Source organism: Homo sapiens, chromosome 8 (genome assembly GCF_000001405.40).
Source record: "Homo sapiens chromosome 8, GRCh38.p14 Primary Assembly".
Classification (NCBI taxonomy): domain Eukaryota; kingdom Metazoa; phylum Chordata; class Mammalia; order Primates; family Hominidae; genus Homo; species Homo sapiens.
The window spans coordinates 92,965,625-92,983,529 of NC_000008.11; the positions used below are offsets into that span (position 1 = coordinate 92,965,625).

The window sequence follows — 17,905 nt, forward strand, 5'->3', positions numbered from 1 at the left end:
GGAGGTGGGCGGGACTAACGTGTCCAGGGCCCAGCGGCTGGCGCCAGACACGCTGGCAGGGCGGGAACCGCGCGTTCCTTAGCAACCGCAATGGCCACGCCCACCGAACCCAGCACCCTCCATCCCCCATCCCGCAGCCAGCGCCCTACTCAACGGGAACGGGTCCTTCAGTGATCACCGTACCTACTGGGTTTCCCGGACTCCGGGTTTCTCTTGCAGAGCCTCCCTCCGCCCAGCCCCACCAAGTGCCGCTCCCAGGGACGGAACGATCGTCTCCCAAACGCTTTAGGGCTCGCTAAAGAGGTGCGCCCGCTTTCATTCCCGGACCCCGAGCTTCCCGGGCAGGGTCTCCCCAATCCCCTCGCACTCGCCGGACACACACCTCAGCTCTGCCAAGGCAAGGGCCGACAAACTTCGTGTCCTGTGGGAAATGTTGCTGTCCACGGTTCTGTCACTCAGGGGCAGGGGCGGGACAAGCCAGCCGCACACCCCTACTCCCAAAGGGTGAGGCGGAAAAGAGGCGAGGCTCTGCCCCCAGGGGCGGGACCAGGCCTCAGCCTGCTCTCGGATTGGTCGGCCTTTCTCCCGTCTGTACGCCGGTCCAGGACGCAAAGGCGCTGGCCCTGAGGCCTTTCCCTCATTTTGATGCCACTCCGGAGTTCTAATACCTGTCTCACGAGGTGACTGTAGAAATTAAAAATAAAGACTGTGACTTGTTTAGTTAATATAAAACGGAAAAATATGTTATTTTGATTATTGAACCCTCCCATCTCACACACACACACTCCCCAATTCACAGGATCATCCCTAAGGAGCGTCCCTAAGTGGAAGGGCGCACTGTCTGTGTAAACAATCAATTAATTGCCCATTCAAACAGCAAAAAAGAAAAAAAAATCGTTTTATATTAACATTAACCAGAGATTAATAAATTTAGGAAAGATTGCAAAAACGTGACTGACAATTAGGATTTAGGAGCCTATGTTCGGGTACTCAATTTTCACATCTACAAAATGGGAATGAAATATTAAGATGTTACTTATTGGAAAAGTATTCAAATATTAAATGCTTTATAAATTATACTCATGTAATCCTTACAAAACCCACTAAGAGTATTATCCACAGCCTATGGACAATGAAACACAGGCTAGGAAAGGCTAGATTTATTCAACCATTCAACAAATCTAAGTGCCTGCAGCCATCATTTTTTAATATTGTGGTGAACTAAATCTAAAATTCCTTCAAAAAATTATGCAACCTCCAATTTAATTTTTCTCTTGCTCACATAAAAGTCACCTTCCTCTAGGCCAGCCCCATCATATCTTTTTCCAAAAGCCCTTGAGAAAGAAAGTAGCATACAAAAAAAAAAAAAAAAAAAAAACTGAGACAAGTATAAATAGACTAACCAGAAGGCTTTCTGAAATCTCACAGAATATTATGGCCAGGAATTGAATCCAAAATGTAATTTTATTTTCCGTCCTCCTAAATCATTTTCTGGTCTCCAGTTCCTCTCCCAGAAATAAAGGTAGAGTTAAATGAGATTATATTAATACACTTAACCAGATTACTTATGTGTGTGGCTTTAAAATAGTGAAACTCTTTTTCCTTCCATATTAAACCAAAACCCAGAAGGGTTTATCTTGTCTGATAGATACGGTTGTAGTAAGAAAAAAGAAAAAAAAAAAGAGTACCTCTGGACAAGTGCCTTGAGATTCAATTAAAATGTTCATCGTACTGTGATGCAATTGTTGGAATAAAAGAAACCCATTCCAATTACAAATAATTTTACACTCTTGACCTGCTGAATATCCAAATTCTTCTGAAAGCTTGCTAAATGTGAATAACTCTCTATAAAACTTTCTTGATTTGTATGACTCAGAGTCCCCATTTTCTTTAATCTTTTAAAAATATTTGGTTTGGCCAGGTGTGGTGGTTCATGCCTGTAATCCCAGCACTTTGGGAAGCTGAGGTGGACGGATTGCCTGAGGTCAGGAGTTCCAGACCAGCCTGGCCAACATGGTGAAACCCCGTCTCTACTAAAAATACAAAAATTAGGCAGGCATGGTGGCAGGCACCTGTAATCCCAGCTACTCAGGAGCCTGAGGCAGGAGAATTGCTTGAGCCCGGGAGGCAGAGGTTGCAGTGAGCCGAGATTGCATCATTGCACTCCAGCCTGGGCAACTGAGTGGGACTCCATCTCAAAAAAAAAAAAAAAAAAAAATTAGTTTTAGACTAAAAAGAAAGAGTTATGATTATATATTAATAAATATATAAATAAATGCTGTAAGATTTAAATAAAAGTGGTGAATGTACTTGAGTCCATTTTCATTACATAAAGATGTACAGCAATGCATTTGTACAGCAAATGCATTGAATATTCTCACATATGTAAGATATTATACAACAAGAAGTAAATAGCTTAATGTAAAATTAAAACTTCCAGATGTATGTTATATGCTTATTTCTTTACCATATAAAGACATATATTATTGACTTACATTTCTAGCAAATTGAAATATAATTGGCTGCATAGTATTCTATGGTGTATATGTGCCACATTTTCTTTATCCAGTCTATTATTGATGGGCATTTGGGTTGGTTCCAAGTCTTTGCTATTGTGAATAGTGCTGCAATAAACATACGTTGGCATGTGTCTTTATAGTAGCATGATTTATAATCCTTTGGGCATATACCCAGTAATGGAATTCCTGGGTCAAATGGCGTTTCTGGTTCTAGATCCTTGAGGAATCACCACACTGTCTTCTACAATGGTTGAACTAATTGACACTCCCACCAACAGTGTAAAAGCATTCCTATTTCTCCACATCCTCTCCAGCATCTGTTGTTTCCTGCCTTTTTAATGATCACCATTCTAACTAGCATGAGATGGTATCTCATTGTGGTTTTGATTTGCATTTCTGTAATGACCAGTGATAATGAGCTTTTTTTATATGCTTATTGGACGCATAAATGTATTCTTTTGAAAAGTGTCTGTTCATATCCTTCACCCACTTTTTGATGCGGTTGTTTGTTTTTTTCTTGTAAATTTGTTTAAGTTCCTTGTAGATTCTGGATATTAGCCCTTTGTCAGATGGATAGATTGCAAAAGGTTTCTCCCATTCTGTAGGTTGCCTGTTTACTCTAATGATAATTTCTTCAGCTATACAGAAGCTCTTCAGTTTAATTAGATCCCATTTGTCAATTTTGGCTTTTGTTGCAACTGCTTTTGGAATTTTAGTTATAAGTCTCTGCCCATGCTTATGTCCCGAATGATATTGCCTAGGTTTTCTTCTAGGGATTTTATGGTTTTAGGTCTTACGTTTAAGTCTTTCATTCATCTTGAGTTAATATTTATATAAGGTATAAGGAAGGGGTCCAGTTTCAGTTTCCTGCATATAGCTAGCCAGTTTTCCCAACACCATTTATTAAATAGGGAATCCTTTCCCCATTGCTTGTTTTTGTCAGGTTTGTCAAAGATCAGATGGTTGTAGGTGTGTGGTGTTATTTGTGAGGCCTCAGTTCTGTTCCACTGGTCTATATATCTGTTTTGGTACCAGTACCATGCTGTTTTGGTTACTGTAGTATAGATTGAAGTCAGGTAACATGATGCCCCTCTTTGTTCTTTTTGCTTAGGATTTTCTTGGCTATATGGGCTCTTTTTTGGTTACATATTTAGAATTATGTTTCTGTGTTTCCAAGTATTTGAGAGTTGTCTAATATCTTACAGTTATTGACTTTTAATTCCATTGTAGTTAGAAAATATATATTGTAATATTTCAAATTTTATTGAAAATTATTGACACATATATTATAACCCAACATATGGTTTATCTTTATGACTGTTCTCAGTGTATTTGGAAAAAAAATGTGTATTCTGAAATTATGGAATGCAGTATGCTCTAAATGTTGATTATAGTCTATATCTTATGACAGTTTTTTTTTTTTGCTTTTAAAAACATTTTATTTATTTATTTTATTTTTTCATTTTACTTTAAGTTCTAGGATACATGTGCAGAATGTGCAGATTTGTTACTTAGGTATACATATGCCATAGTGATCCTTACCAACATTTTTAAGCATATTCTATCACTTATTGAAAGAAAGGTGTTAAATCTCCAACTATGCTTGTGCATTTGTTTATATTTTCTTTTTTTAAAAAAAATTAATTTTTTTTAAATTTTAGGTTCCAGGATACATTTGCAGAATATGTGGGTTTGTTACACAGGTAAACTTGTGCCATGCTGGTTTGCTGCACCTATCAACCCATCCCTTAGATATTAAGCCCAGCATGCATTAGTTATTTATCCTGATGCTCTCCCTCTCCAAATCCTCCCCTAGCAGGTCCCTGTGTATGTTGTTCCCCTCCCTGTGTCCATGTGTTCTCATTGTTCAGCTCCCACTTATAAGTGAGAATATTCAGTGTTTGGTTTTCTGTTCTTACATTAGTTTGCCGAGGGTAATGGCTTCTGGCTCCATTCACGTTCCTGCAAAGGACATGATCTCATTCCTTTTTATGGCTGCATAGTATTCCATGGTGTATATGTACCACATTTTCTTTATCCAGTCTATCATTGATGGGCATTTGGGTTGATTCTATGTCTTTGCTATGGTGCATAGTGCTGCAATGAACATGCGCATGCATGTATCTTTATAATAGAATGATTTGTATTCCTTTGGGTATATACCAAGCAATGGGATTGCTGAGTGGAATGGTGGTTCTGCAGTTCTGCTTCTAGGTCTTTAAGGAATTGCCACACTGTCTTCCACAATGGTTGAACTAATTTACATTTCCACCAACAGTGTAAAAGTGTTCCTATTTCTCCACAGTCTCACCAGCATCTGTTGTTTCTTGACTTTTTAATAATTGCCATTCTGACTGGTGTGAAATGGTATCTCATTATAGGTTTTGTTTGCATTTCTCTAATGATCAGTGATGTTGAACTTTTTTTCATATGTTTCTTGGCCACATAGATGTCTTCTTTTGAGATGTCCCTGTTCGTGTCTTTTGCCCACTTTTTAATGGGGTTGTTTTTCTCTTGTAAATCTGTTTAAGTTCCCTGTAGATTGTAGATATTAGACCTTTGTCAGATGGATAGACTGCAAAAATTGTCTCCCATTCTGTAGGTTATCTTTTCACTCATGATAGTTTCTTTTGCTATGCAGAAGCTCTTTAGTTTAATTAGGTCTCATTTTTCAATTTTTGCTTTTGTTGCAATTGCTTTTGATCTTTTGTCATGAAATCTTTGCCCATGTCTATGTCCTGAATGGTACTGCCTAGATTTTCTTCTAGGGTTTTTATAGTTTTGGGTTTTACATTTAAGTCTTTAATGCATCTTGAATTATTTTTTGTATAAGGTATAAGGTCGGGGTCTAGTTTCAGTTTTCTACATATGGCTAGTCAGTTTTTCCAGCGCTGTTTATTAAATAGGGAATCCTTTCCCCATTGCTTGTTTTTTTCCTGTTTGTCAAAAATCAGATGGTTGTAGATGTGTGGTCTTATTTCTGAGTTCTCTATCTGTTCCATTGGTCTATGTGTCTGTTTTTGTACCAACACCGTGCTTCTTTGGTTACTGTAGCCTTGTAGTATAGTTTAAAGTTACACACACAAGGGAACAAGACAAGGATGCCCTCTCTCACCACTCCTGTTCAGCATGGTATTGGAAGATATGGCCTGGGCAATCAGGCAAAAGAAAAAAATAAAGGGTATTCAAATAGGAAGAGAGAAGTCAAACTGTCTCTGTTTGCAGATGACATGATCCTGTAGCTAGAAAACCCCATTGTCTCAGCCCAAAAGCTTCTTAAGCTGCTAAACAACATCAGAAAAGTCTCAGGATACAACATCAATGTGCAAAAATCACAAGCAATTTTATACACCAACAATAGACAAGCAGAAAGCTAAATCATGAATGAACTTCCATTCACAATTGCTACGAAGAGAATAAAATACCTAGATATACAGCTAACAAGGGATGTGAAGGACCTCTTCAAGGAGAACTACAAACCACTGCTCAAGGAAATCAGAGAGGACACAAACAAATGGAAAAACATTCTCCATGCTCATGAATAGGAAATATCAATATCCTGAAAATGGCCATATTGCCCAAAGTAATTTACAAACTCAATGCTATTCCTATTAAACTACCATCGACAGTCTTCACAGAATTAGAGAAAACTACTGTAAAGTTTATATGGAACCAAAAAAGAGCTCATATAGCCAAGACAATCCTAAATAAAAAGAACAGAGCTAGAGGCATCACGGTATCCAACTTCAAACTATATTTTCTTTAGTTGTGTTAATTCTTTCATTATATATTTTGAAGGTCTGTTACTAGGCTCATACACATCTAGAATTATTATGATTTCCTGATGAATCAACACTTTTATCATTATGCAATGTTGACCTTTTTATCTCTGGTTATACTTGGTGGTGAAGAATATTTGCCTGATATTAATAATCTTAGATTAGATGTATTATGCCTGTTGTTTCTACTAGATCCATTTCCTTGCCTTTACATTTAAGCTATCTATGCCTTTATAGCTCTATCTCTTGTATACAATATATTGTTGAATTTGCATTTTTTCCAGTCTGACAATCTTTGATTTGTTATAAAAATATTTATTCAATTTCCATGTAACATAGTTATTAATATGAAGGGTATAAGTCTATCATTTTTCTTTGTATTTTTTATTTTTCATTTTTACCTTTCTCCTCCATTTATACTTTCCTTTTTTTATTTGCTTTAGTCAAAAATGTTTAGACTTCCAGTTTGTGCTTCTAATGGTTCTTTAGCTATATTCTTTTTGTTATTTTATTTGTGGTTATTCTAGAGGTAACAATCTATATTGTTATGCTGAGAATCATCAATGTTGCATTCATTTAATATTATGTTCTAAGAGTAGTGCCCTGTGCTCCTCCTTCACACCACCCCCCAGTTTTCTGCCTAGCTCCAACTTTCTACTTGCTTTGGCATTATGCCATTTGGCATGTCCCCATCCAGGAGGGTAACAACACTATCTTTCACACCCGGGCCAAGAACACAGGAAAGTGAAGTAGAAGAGTGGATAAGGCCAATCCCACTAAGTAGAAGGCTAAGCAGTGCTGAGCCCTTAACAAAAGCCACAACTTCCAGCTGATCTTTACTGTGTTTCAAGACCTGTCACTCAGGGCCAGCTTCACGGTATGAGAACTGTACAGGCCCACAACACCCATGGTCAGAAGGTTCCCCTGTTTGTTTAATGATCTACTATTGCTGTCCTGAAATTTTTAATAATTTTATCTTTGAACTTATTTTTTGTAAGTTCAGTCTAATGGGATAATGAAGCGTGTGCATGAGCAGAAGAGATATTCACAGTAAGTTCTCTACTATTTCTTGTGATCTCACTTGCACATAGAGTTCATGGTGCCTCGTGAGCACAGAATTCTGATGGACCCATCATAGGTGAGAGTTCGGCGAGACTCAAAGCAAATGTGAGGTAAGCCTGTTATCAAAGTCATTTGTTTTGTTTCCATTGAGTATTGGTAGAATGTGTGCATATCAAGAAATGAAATAAGAACAATTTTGAGTTGGTATTTTTTGCAGTTTCTACTGGTTCAGTAACAACAATATACATATGCATATATGAGCTATGAAATATGAACTATGTAATTTCAGTGATTCTGGATATCAGTAAATGTTCTTATATTTTTGTTTAGAACTGCAATTGCACAAAATGAAGGTGAACAGTAGCAATCACACTTATGATGAAAAATTTTAATTTCTCTACTTAGAGCAGCGTTAAATAGCAAGTATAAAACACCACGATAACTTCAGAGAGACTTTGGAAGAAAGCAATAAAACGTTTTCTGTCTTATGCCTTTGATGGCACATTTTACTTTTTTTTAAATTTTTTTAAACAACGGGCCACACACTTTCATTTTGTCCTGGGCTAAACAAATTATTTAGCTTGCACTGATATCATTTCACTATTAAAAGATATACAAAGGTTGACTTTGGTGATCCAGCTTCTGCAGAGTCAAGATTAGTAAGGATAAAATTTTTGGTGCAAAGTGGGAGTAAGGAAAACATTAGTAAGGATAACATTTTTGGTGCAAAGTGGGAGAAGGAGAAGGAATAGCTCGGGAGGATGCTACCAAATTTGAGCCGCACAGTACATTCCGGTCTAGTACATTCTCGTCCCCTATAGTACTCTGTTCTTTACAGAAGGAGGAGTTTAAATGATCACCACTGTATGTGAGTCTGGGACCCCTTATCTGAAACTGCACCACTTTGGTATATTTACGTTGTGAAATCACTAGCTTTGGGTAACTGCTTCCTCCATATCCTGCTGCTGGCTGCAAACCTGCCCTGTGCAGACAACCCATTTCTTCTGCCTGATCTGCTCAATAGCTCCACATCAAGTGCTTGAAGGTCAAGTTACATTTCAGGCTGGTATCCCTGTGCCATCAACAGCAGCAACCTACATGGTTGTCACCTTGTCAACAGTTAGCTGGAGGCCACATCAGAGAAGTGGAGCTCTTTGGCCAGGAAAGCCTGAAACAGGTGCACTTCCCTGACAGCAAGGACATACCCAGTAACAAACAGCACTTCTACATCTACTAGCTGCTGGACATCCTGGACTATGGGCTCAGCTTCCAGCTGCAGGGCCAGAACTTGTATATCATCCAACTACGACAGCACAAAGTCTTCCGGAGTGAGCCTTGTACCTTATCCAACAGCTCCCACCTCAAACCAATCCAACAGAAAATGAAGTCCAAGCTCTTCAGTCTGAATCTTTTTCAATGAGCTCATCTCATTCCAAAAGGGCCAAACCAACACACAACCACGATTTGTGACCTCCTTTTTTAGGGAAGGGTATCTTGACTATAAGTCCTGAAACAAGAAATTCATTATTCTATAGATGGTGTATGGAGACTGAAGCTTGGTTGTTGCTGAAGTTCTTCTCAGGAGGGGTTCTTAATTGACTGATAGTATCTAGACATACATCTCAAAGACTGAACCATAAGGTAGAAAAGTTGAAGGAGCTCCATCACATCCAGCAATCTCATCAATTGCAGACTGTAATCCAGGCTTTCCTGAGCCCAACCTTGATGCTGGCCAGTGGCCCTGACTCATTCACCCACTTGACCCATAATACTGAAGCTGAAGAAAGCAACTAGCCCAGTCTTCCTAGAGGGCTTTGTAAATGGATGTGGAGGTTCCATGGAACCCATGGGCACCTTACCAGTTTTAGCCTTATGTCTTCTGCAGGGCCTTGCCTGGGACCAAGAATTGGATTTTAATCAAAAGAAGAAAGAAGACAGAAATAACTAGCTATTTTTTTCCACAGAAGCTGAGGAGAGAGCTGAAAGACAGCTTTGGTTTCAGGGTTCCATTCTCCTCTGAATCTACCTCTACTGTCCTATTTCTGGCAGGCCTGGCTCTCAGGGATGCTCACCTTCTGCTCATGTTCCAAGGAACTCCCACAATCAAGGATACCTGGTTGCTTAAGGTGTATTGCCCCCAGGGGGCCTGCTCTCATGGCCTCCCCAGTTTCCACAGGCTGGAGGAGCCAGGGTTTGATTTTGGTCCCAGAGATATGCTGGTCTCATAGAAAAAGTTTGAAAGTATTCACTTTTCTTCATTGTCTAGAAGAATTTGTGTGCATTGCCAGTGTTACTTTCTTAATTTTTGTGTAGAAATCTCCGAGGAAGCCACCAAAGCCTAGACTTTTTGTGGGAGAATTTTTAATACAAATACAATTTTTAAAGTAGATGTGGGACTATTCAAACTCTCTACTTCTTTAGTGACCATTAGTAGTTTGTATACTGCAAAGAATTTGAACACATTATATACACTGGCAAATTTATTGAGATAAACTTGTTCATAATATTGCTTATATTCATTTTTATTTCTGTAGAATTGTGGTGACCTCACTTCTCATATTTCTGGTAGTGGCAGTTTGTCTTATTTTTCTGATCTCCTTGGCTAGAGCTTTAATTTTATTACCTTTCTTAAAGAAGCAGCTTTTATTTTTATTTTTTTCTATTGCTTTTCAGATTCTTATTTTATTGATTTCCATTTTTATCTTTATTTCATTTTTCTGCTAACTTTGGATTTAATTTGCTCTTCTTGTTTTAGTTACTTTAGATAGAGATTGAAGCCATTGATTAGAGTATTTTCTGTCTTTTCTAATATAGGAGATAAATAATATAAATTCCCCTCCAATCCATACTTAAGCTTCATCCCATGAATTTGAACATTTTTAAATTTTCATTTATTTAAAAAAACTTCTCATTTCATTTTGATTTCTGATATGACTAATGGGTTACTTAGAATATGTTATTTACTTTCCAAATATTTGGAGATTATCCAGATAATTTCCTGTTAGTAATTTACTATTTAATTCTGTTGCGGTTAGAGAATATACTTTCTATGATTTTCATTACTTAAGATGTATAGAAACTTATTTTATTATATAGGTTTTCTTGGTAAATATCCCATGTACACTTGAAAAGAATGCACATTCTGCTTTACTTCAATAGCATTCTATAAATTTCAGTTATGTCTAGTTGGTTAATAGAGTTGTTCAGATTTTGTATATCTCTACTGATTATGTCTACTTGTTTTAATAATTACTTGAGAAAGGTGTTTAACTCTCCTACTATAATTATGAATTTGTGCATTTCTTCTTGAAGTTTTATCAGTTTTCATGTATTTTAAAGCTTTGTCATTATGTGCATATGTTATATCCTCTAAGATTAACTGACTCCTTCATCATTATGAAATGACATTTTTCATCCCTGGTAATGTTCTTTGCTCTGAAATCTACTTTGTGTGATATTAATATAATCATGTCAGCTTTCTTTTGGTCAGTGTTAACATGGTTTTATTTTCCAGTCTTTTAACCAATTTGTGTCTTTATATTTTCAAGTGTTCTCTTTTTTGTAGACAACATGTAGTTGAGTCTTGTTTTTTAAAATCTAATTTGACTACATCTGCCTTGTAATTGAGGTGTTAGACCATTTATGTTACTGTGATTGCTGATATAATTGGGTTTAAATGCACCATCTTGCTGTTTATTTTCTATACGTTCAATCCCTTCTTTGTTCTCTTTTCTTTTGCTTTCTATTTTGGAATTATAGAATACTTTTATGATTCTATTTAATTTCCTTTGCTGACTTCATAGCTGTAACTTTTTAATGGTTTTTTTGTGGCTTATAATATAGCTGTTTAACTTACCACCATCTACCTTTAAGAAATATTATATTATTTCACATATAGTTAAAGAAGCTTGATGCAGTATATTTCCATTTCTACAGTCTTTGTGCTATTGTCATGTATTTTATCTCTCTATATATATTAAACCCAACAATACATGTGATTATTTTTGCTGTAACAATTCAATATTCTTTTAAAGAGATTTTTAAAATGTGAAAAAATGTATATTTACCCACATATTTACCATTTCCAGTGCTCTTTGTTCCTTTGTGTGGATCCATGTTGCCATCTGGTATTATTTTCTCTTTACTTAAAAGACTTTCTTGAGCATTTTGTATGAAGTGTGCTTTCTGGTGATGAAGTCTTTCACCTTTTGTATGTCTAAATAAGTCTTTATGTTTCATTTATTTTTGAATGATATTTTTGCTGGGTATATAATTCTAAGTCAACAGTTTTCATTTCAGTACTTTAATGACGTTCACTACTTTAAAGGGACTTCAAATACATATGCATTAGGCTACTTGGTATGTTCATACTTTTCTCTTTTTTTCTCTCTGTATATAATTTCAAATCGATTTTTTTGCTTCATAGCTATATATTCAAGTTCGCTCATATTTTCCAATATTAATTCCATCTAGTACATTTTTAATCAGACATTTTTCCCTATATTTGGAAGTTTAAATTGGTACTTTTTAATACCATCTGTATCTTTCCTTAACATACTTATCCTTTTCTCTACCCTCCTGATCATTGGGAAGATAGTTATAACTGCTTATCATCCTTTTCTACTAACTATATTATCTAAATTACTTCTTACTCTATTACTATTGATTGAAATTTGTTTTCATTATGTGGAGCATATTTTCTTATTTGTTTTCACACCTGGGCATTTTTTTATTGAATGCTAGACATTTTTAATTTTACCTTGTTGGGTTCTGGATATTTTTGTGTGTTCATACAAATATTCTTGAGCTTTCTTTTGAAGTACAATTGTCATGTAGAAACAGTGTAATCCTTTTGAGATTTAAGTTTTGTTAGGCAGAAACAGAGAAGCATTTAGTCTCTGAATTTTGTCTTACTATTGACCTAGTTATAGCCATTGCTCTTGGAACTATGTTGTATTTCCATTTTTGCTGGAATAAATACAAACTATTTCTGACCATGTGTTGGTCTTATGGATTTTTCTCTCTGCTTTTTCCAGGTGATTCATTTCTCAAATGCAGATTATTTCCTCATATTCATTCATCAATCAGTACTCAGTTGAATTTTCAAGAGGAATGCATTGTATCTATCCAGAGCTCTTACTCTGTAGTTGTCTCCTGTCTGACACCTTTCCCTGTGAATTGTAGCTGCTTTGACTTTGCCAGACTCCCAACTACATCTTCTTAACTCAGGCACACCACCAGGCTCTACCTGGGTCTCCTCTCCATGTGCTGTGGCCTGGAAACTTTGGCTCTAATCACAGGCATTCATAGCCCTTATGCATTTGTTTACTCCCTCTTTGGGATTTTTGTCCCATGATACTTGATGCCCAGTGCCTGAAAACCATTGTTTAATAGATGTTGTCCAAATTTTCAGTGATTTCAGCTGAAGTTTAAATCCAATTTCTGTTAGTTCATCATGGCTGGGAGCAGAAGTTTTGAGCCGCTCAATTTGTATTCAAAAATTATTTATCGTAATTTGGGGGGTCTAGGAGGATGTTTCATTTGTAACCAGAGGATTTGTACTGCCACTATAAGCATGTGACAGCAGTAAGAATAAAGTCCACTTTAAACTTAATTGAAGTGTATGGACCTCAAGTTTTGAACTGCAAACATTTGAAAACTCACTTATGGGTACAACTTCTCAGGGATTTGTTTTTCCTTTCTCTGCTCAGAGTCAGGGCAACCACAGTCCTTTGGTGACAGGAATGAACATATTTATTTTTGCATTTTTGCTTACTCCTTATATTAAGGTTTCCAACTCAATGTTTGAGAGATTCTTACTATATTTTCCAACTTGAGTGAGCTCTGGTTGTGAAAAGCACTGAAGGCTGCGAAAATCACTGAAGTTTTCAGCTGTGACATACACCCTCAGGACATAAGCAATTTTACTATTCCTGCTACTAGTGGAAATACAGCTGATCCAATGAACACTTATTGCATAACACACCACCATGAATCAGTGGTATAAAACAACAATGATTTTCTCATGTCAAAAATCTGTGGGTCAAGAATTTGGACAGGATTCAGCAGAAAGTGTTTGTTCCATAATATCTGGGGTCTCAGCTGGGACACCCTAAATGCTGGGGAATGACTCAAATGGCTGGCAGTTGGAATCATCTTTAAGCTTTTCTGCATAATTGTCTGCTACCTGGGTTATGATAAGATGAAAGCTTAGCTGTGTTTAGGTGGAACTGTTGACAGGAGGACCTGTGTATAACCTCTCAGAGTGTATTGGAATTCTCACAGCAATGTCAGATCACGTTATAGAAGATCTGTAGGATGAAAGACACTGTTGTCACTCTCTGGAAGATGCAGTTTGCAATATCCTTTCAAATTTTTTCATATATATCCAATGTTTTTAGTTGTTTTCACTGTGAAGAATTCCAGAATGCCAGAGGTCAATCTGAACATTTAAGCCTAAGCATATCACCAGATATGGAACTCTCAACTTTCATATATATTTTAGAATCAATTTTTCAGGTTCCACAAAAAATCTTAGTGGTATATGGATGGGTATTGCAAAGACCTTGCCATTAACTTTTAAATGGTTTTTTGTAATAACAATTGTCCTTATTCTTGAACTTACTTTTTTTAATATCTTATTAAAGTTTCACATTTTTCTACATTCAGGTCATGTATTCCTTTCTGTTTATTACTCAAATATTATAGTTTTATAGTTTTCTTAATGGCAACTACTACATTTTACTATATTTTCTAATTGGTTGCTAATGGTCCCTCATTTGTGAAAAAGCTTGCATATTCATCTTGTATTTTCCCATTCAACTTACTTTAATTTCTTAGTTGTTTTAAAAGTTTGTTTGCAGATTGTCATAAAATTTGAAGTCATGTAGCAATAATGATAGACTGTCTTGAAATTATATATGAAAGATAGAGTTGCTTCTTCCCTTTAACTGTATATATCATTTTATTTTCATTATTTCATTAGTTGGACTTCTAGCATAATGTTGAAGAATAGCAACAATAGAGGGTGTCTTCATCTCAATATCAACTCAAATTAGAAAGATTTATAATGTCTCACCATTAGATCTGATGTTCACTTAAATTTCTGGTACTTTATTAAGTTAAGAACACTCTATTTTGGACTTCTTTTACTAAATGTCTTTATTACTAATGAGTATTTATTTCCAGTAAATGTTTGTCACTACTCATTGAAATGAACAAATAATGTTTCATTGTTAATATATATTAATAGGTATTCTAATATGGGAATTTACTTTATCTAGAGAAATGCTATTTGATTATTCCTTTTTAAAATATGCTACTCAAATTTGACTTGTTAATACTTTATGTTTTTGCATTTATTTTATAATTGGCATATGGGGGTGTGTGTGTGTGTGTGTCTGCACTCACGCGCGTGTGTGTTCATTTTGGTACCTGTTGAATACACTAGCTTCATAAAATGAGTTAGGTAGCTTCATCTCATTTTCTTTGTTACGAAAATCTTTGTACAAGATGGGAAATTGTTTATTTTGTAAAGAGTTGGCAGAACTCACTATCTGGGTAAAAAGTATCTGGACCTGGTGCTGCTTCAGTTTCTTCTAGGGTTAAATGTTAAATTCAGTTATTCTACTATCACATGAACAGACTTAGAAATGCATACTTTCCTAGAAGTATATACATTTTATGTAGGTTTTATGTAGGTTTTAAAATTAATGGCATATAATTACTCATTCTCTTATATTTTAAATGTTACTCAGTTCCACTGTCAATTTTGGGATTCATAATGTGTTTCTCCTTTAGTTTTTTTCATAATCATATTTTCCAGTTTTTTGATTATTAATATATCTAAAAAGCTAGCTTTTGATTTCTGTTAAATAACTTTAGAAATATTTTTGCCATTTCATTTTCATTTTATTAATATATATTTCATTTTTATTAATTTATTTCTGGTTTTTCTAAGTTCTATGCTTTAATTTAATTTTATCTTTATTATTTTATAATAATGCCTCTAGGTGCATAAATTTTTCTCTGAGTTCTATTATGAGCATGGAGTATACATTTTGATAAATATCCTTTGAAAATAGCTTATAATTAATGTATCTTTTCTTCTTAATAAATTATTATTTAGAAGCATCTTCTTTACTTGATAGTTTTATAGGTTTGAAGGGAACTTAAAGCAGAGCTATTTTTTGTGATTAATTTCTTGTTTTCGTGCAATACGTTCAGTGAATAAAGCCTGTTCGTGAGGTCTGTTTTCGGTGGCTTTTTTGAGGTCTCTTTGTAGTTTATTAGTACATGGTCATTTGTTTCTCATTTCTTTTGATCTCTCTTTTGTGCTAAATCCTCTGTTGAATATAAACTTCTAAAAAATTCTATGTCTATCTATTAGATCAAGCTCGTTGTGTTACACAAATAGTTTATATCATTATTTATTATGTATTTCTATTTCAAACTCATGAAATCAATAGTTTCTAATAGTAAGTTTTAAACTTTCTCACTATGATTGTGGATTTATCCTTTTTTATATTTTTTAGTTTCACCTTATGTATTTTGTAACTATGTTGATTGGTACATAAAGAACCATTACTGCAATATACTGTTAAAATTCCTATGTTATATTAAGTCAGTATAAAATATCTATTTCTGTCCCTTTAAGGCTGTTTACTGTAAATTCTAAATGGTCTAATATTAACATTGCTATACTTTTTAACAATTTACTGGCTTATTTGTTTTCATTTTTTTATTACTCCAATATTTCTGTGTCATTTTGTTTTGAATAAGCTTTTCTATTGCCAACGAATGCAGTCTGATTTGAGTCTTCTAAATTTTCTCATAGTTGCCATACTAAAAAGAGATATCTTTCTCATTTTTGAGTGTAATCATGTATATTTTAAAAATATTTTAACTATCAACTCCAGGAAATTGAAATAGAAAGAGAGGGTGGAGCATTTACCTAGTGTGCCACTGTAGCATTTTTAGACTTACAGCTTACTATGACATCTCAAGGGTATTACTTTTTTATATGAAAATAATAACTTTTATTATATATTATGAACAATTCAATAAAGCCTTATTTTCGAGATATCTAAAAATAAGTTTAAATAAGGTTTTCTGTTTTTCCTTAGAAAAATAAATATTTAAAATTATCAATAATTATTGAAAAAGAATTATTAATTTTGTAAATTGGACATCTTTTTGACAGTTTTTTATTTGAAATCTGGTAAATTAGCAGTTGCATAATTTTCAGTACTACATCACCTGGATATTTTTCTATGGAATATATAGTTTGGAGATTCAGTTAAAGAAGAGAAAACTAGATAGCTGGCCTATCATTAATTTTAGTAGTGTATATTCCTTGAATTTCAATAGAAATAAAGATTTATGTATTACGTGTTTCTTATGGAATATTAAAATATAACTGTACTCTGAAAACTCAATAAAGTATTTTGTCAGTCAACAAAATGCATGTGTACAAAACAAGACAACATTTCTTCAGTAACCTGACATTTACTGAATTAACTCTATCTTGTTTAGTGGTAGGGAATGTCCAGGATGAAGGAGAGGTTATGACTGACTGCTTTCCAATTTTCTTGTCCTGGAACATTGGCCAGATGTCATGCAAAAATCAGAAAATATTTTGCTATTGTTAAATGGTTGAATAGATTAAGAATACGTTGGTCTTTTAAGTGTTCCCATAGAATCAGATGCTGCAAATATCAATGGGAGACATTATATTCTTTTTATATGCAACCATCTTCTGCTTTTATGCATTCCAAAAAGGGTCACATTATAACTCCAGAAGTAGGATGAAGTTGTAATCTGATACTAAGACTTCTTCCTCCTCCTAGGTAAGGGAGGGTGGTGCTTAAAGAAAGCTGGAACCCACTGCAATCCATTTTGAAGAGTGTCGGGTCCTTGCTGAACTGAATTTGAATGCTGGGTCTATTCAATCTATAAGTGACACATTGGGTAGATTATTTAATGTCTCTGTGCCTTAATGTTCTCATTTATGAAATTAGGATAACAATATCCAGTTCATATGGCTGCTGTAAAAATCAAATAAGATAATGTTTTTAAAGTTACAAATACAATGAAGCCATGGTAGAAATTGTATATTTTAAAAAATTAAAACTGATTCTAAATTATTTTTATTTACTCTAGAAGTGCTGGACTAAGGAGACAGCAGGGTTGCTACCCATGCTCTGGGACACTACTAGTTTTGTCAGACTGCTGAAATAGAAATAATGTCACAGAAGACACAAGGCAGAGGCAGACAAAGGAGAGAAAAATCTCAATTCAAGTCAAAACAAAAGATTTTGTGACTGTTCTTATACACAAACTAGATTAACTGCTATAAAAAAACAACAGTCAAATTTCAGTGGCTTAACATAGTAAAGATTTATTTCCTGCTGACTCCTCAGTAGAATGCAAGTAGGCAGTGAAGCCTCTGTGCCATGCAGTAATTCATGGAGTCAGTCTTCCTTAACCTAGAGGTTTCATTATTCCTAGTGTCTTGAAGATCGCAGGTTAATTTATTACATCTGG

At 35.1% G+C, this 17,905-nt stretch overlaps 1 protein-coding gene and 1 pseudogene across 13 annotated transcripts in view, besides 2 other annotated features; one reads left to right on the forward strand and one right to left on the reverse strand.

Moving 5' to 3' along the window:
- TRIQK (triple QxxK/R motif containing) overlaps window positions 1–17,905 on the reverse strand; it is a 134,132-nt gene that overhangs the window by 82,091 nt on the left and 34,136 nt on the right. For 10 of the 13 annotated variants that reach the window (NM_001438083.1, NM_001171799.2, NM_001171798.2 and 7 more), the window contains exon 1: window positions 383–520. The exons of 1 other annotated variant lie outside the window; for it this stretch is intronic. The gene's annotated coding sequence lies outside the window, so the exon portion shown is untranslated. Of the gene's footprint in view, window positions 1–183; window positions 521–17,905 lie in introns of those variants that run through there. 2 more of the 13 variants (XM_017013349.2, NM_001191035.2) reach the window with 1 other exon arrangement.
- Window positions 507–616: a silencer, noted in NCBI's record as "silent region_19356". NCBI's record gives its function as "represses an Ori minimal core promoter by ATAC-STARR-seq in GM12878 lymphoblastoid cells {active_cell/tissue: GM12878}" and the evidence as "EXISTENCE:reporter gene assay evidence [ECO:0000049][PMID:35858748]".
- Window positions 6,972–9,117, forward strand: IRF5P1 (interferon regulatory factor 5 pseudogene 1; annotated as a pseudogene).
- Window positions 8,475–8,743: a silencer, noted in NCBI's record as "fragment chr8:93986327-93986595 (GRCh37/hg19 assembly coordinates)". NCBI's record gives its function as "represses an EF-1alpha promoter that drives an FKBP-Casp9 reporter gene in an ReSE screen in HepG2 liver carcinoma cells {active_cell/tissue: HepG2}" and the evidence as "EXISTENCE:reporter gene assay evidence [ECO:0000049][PMID:32094911]".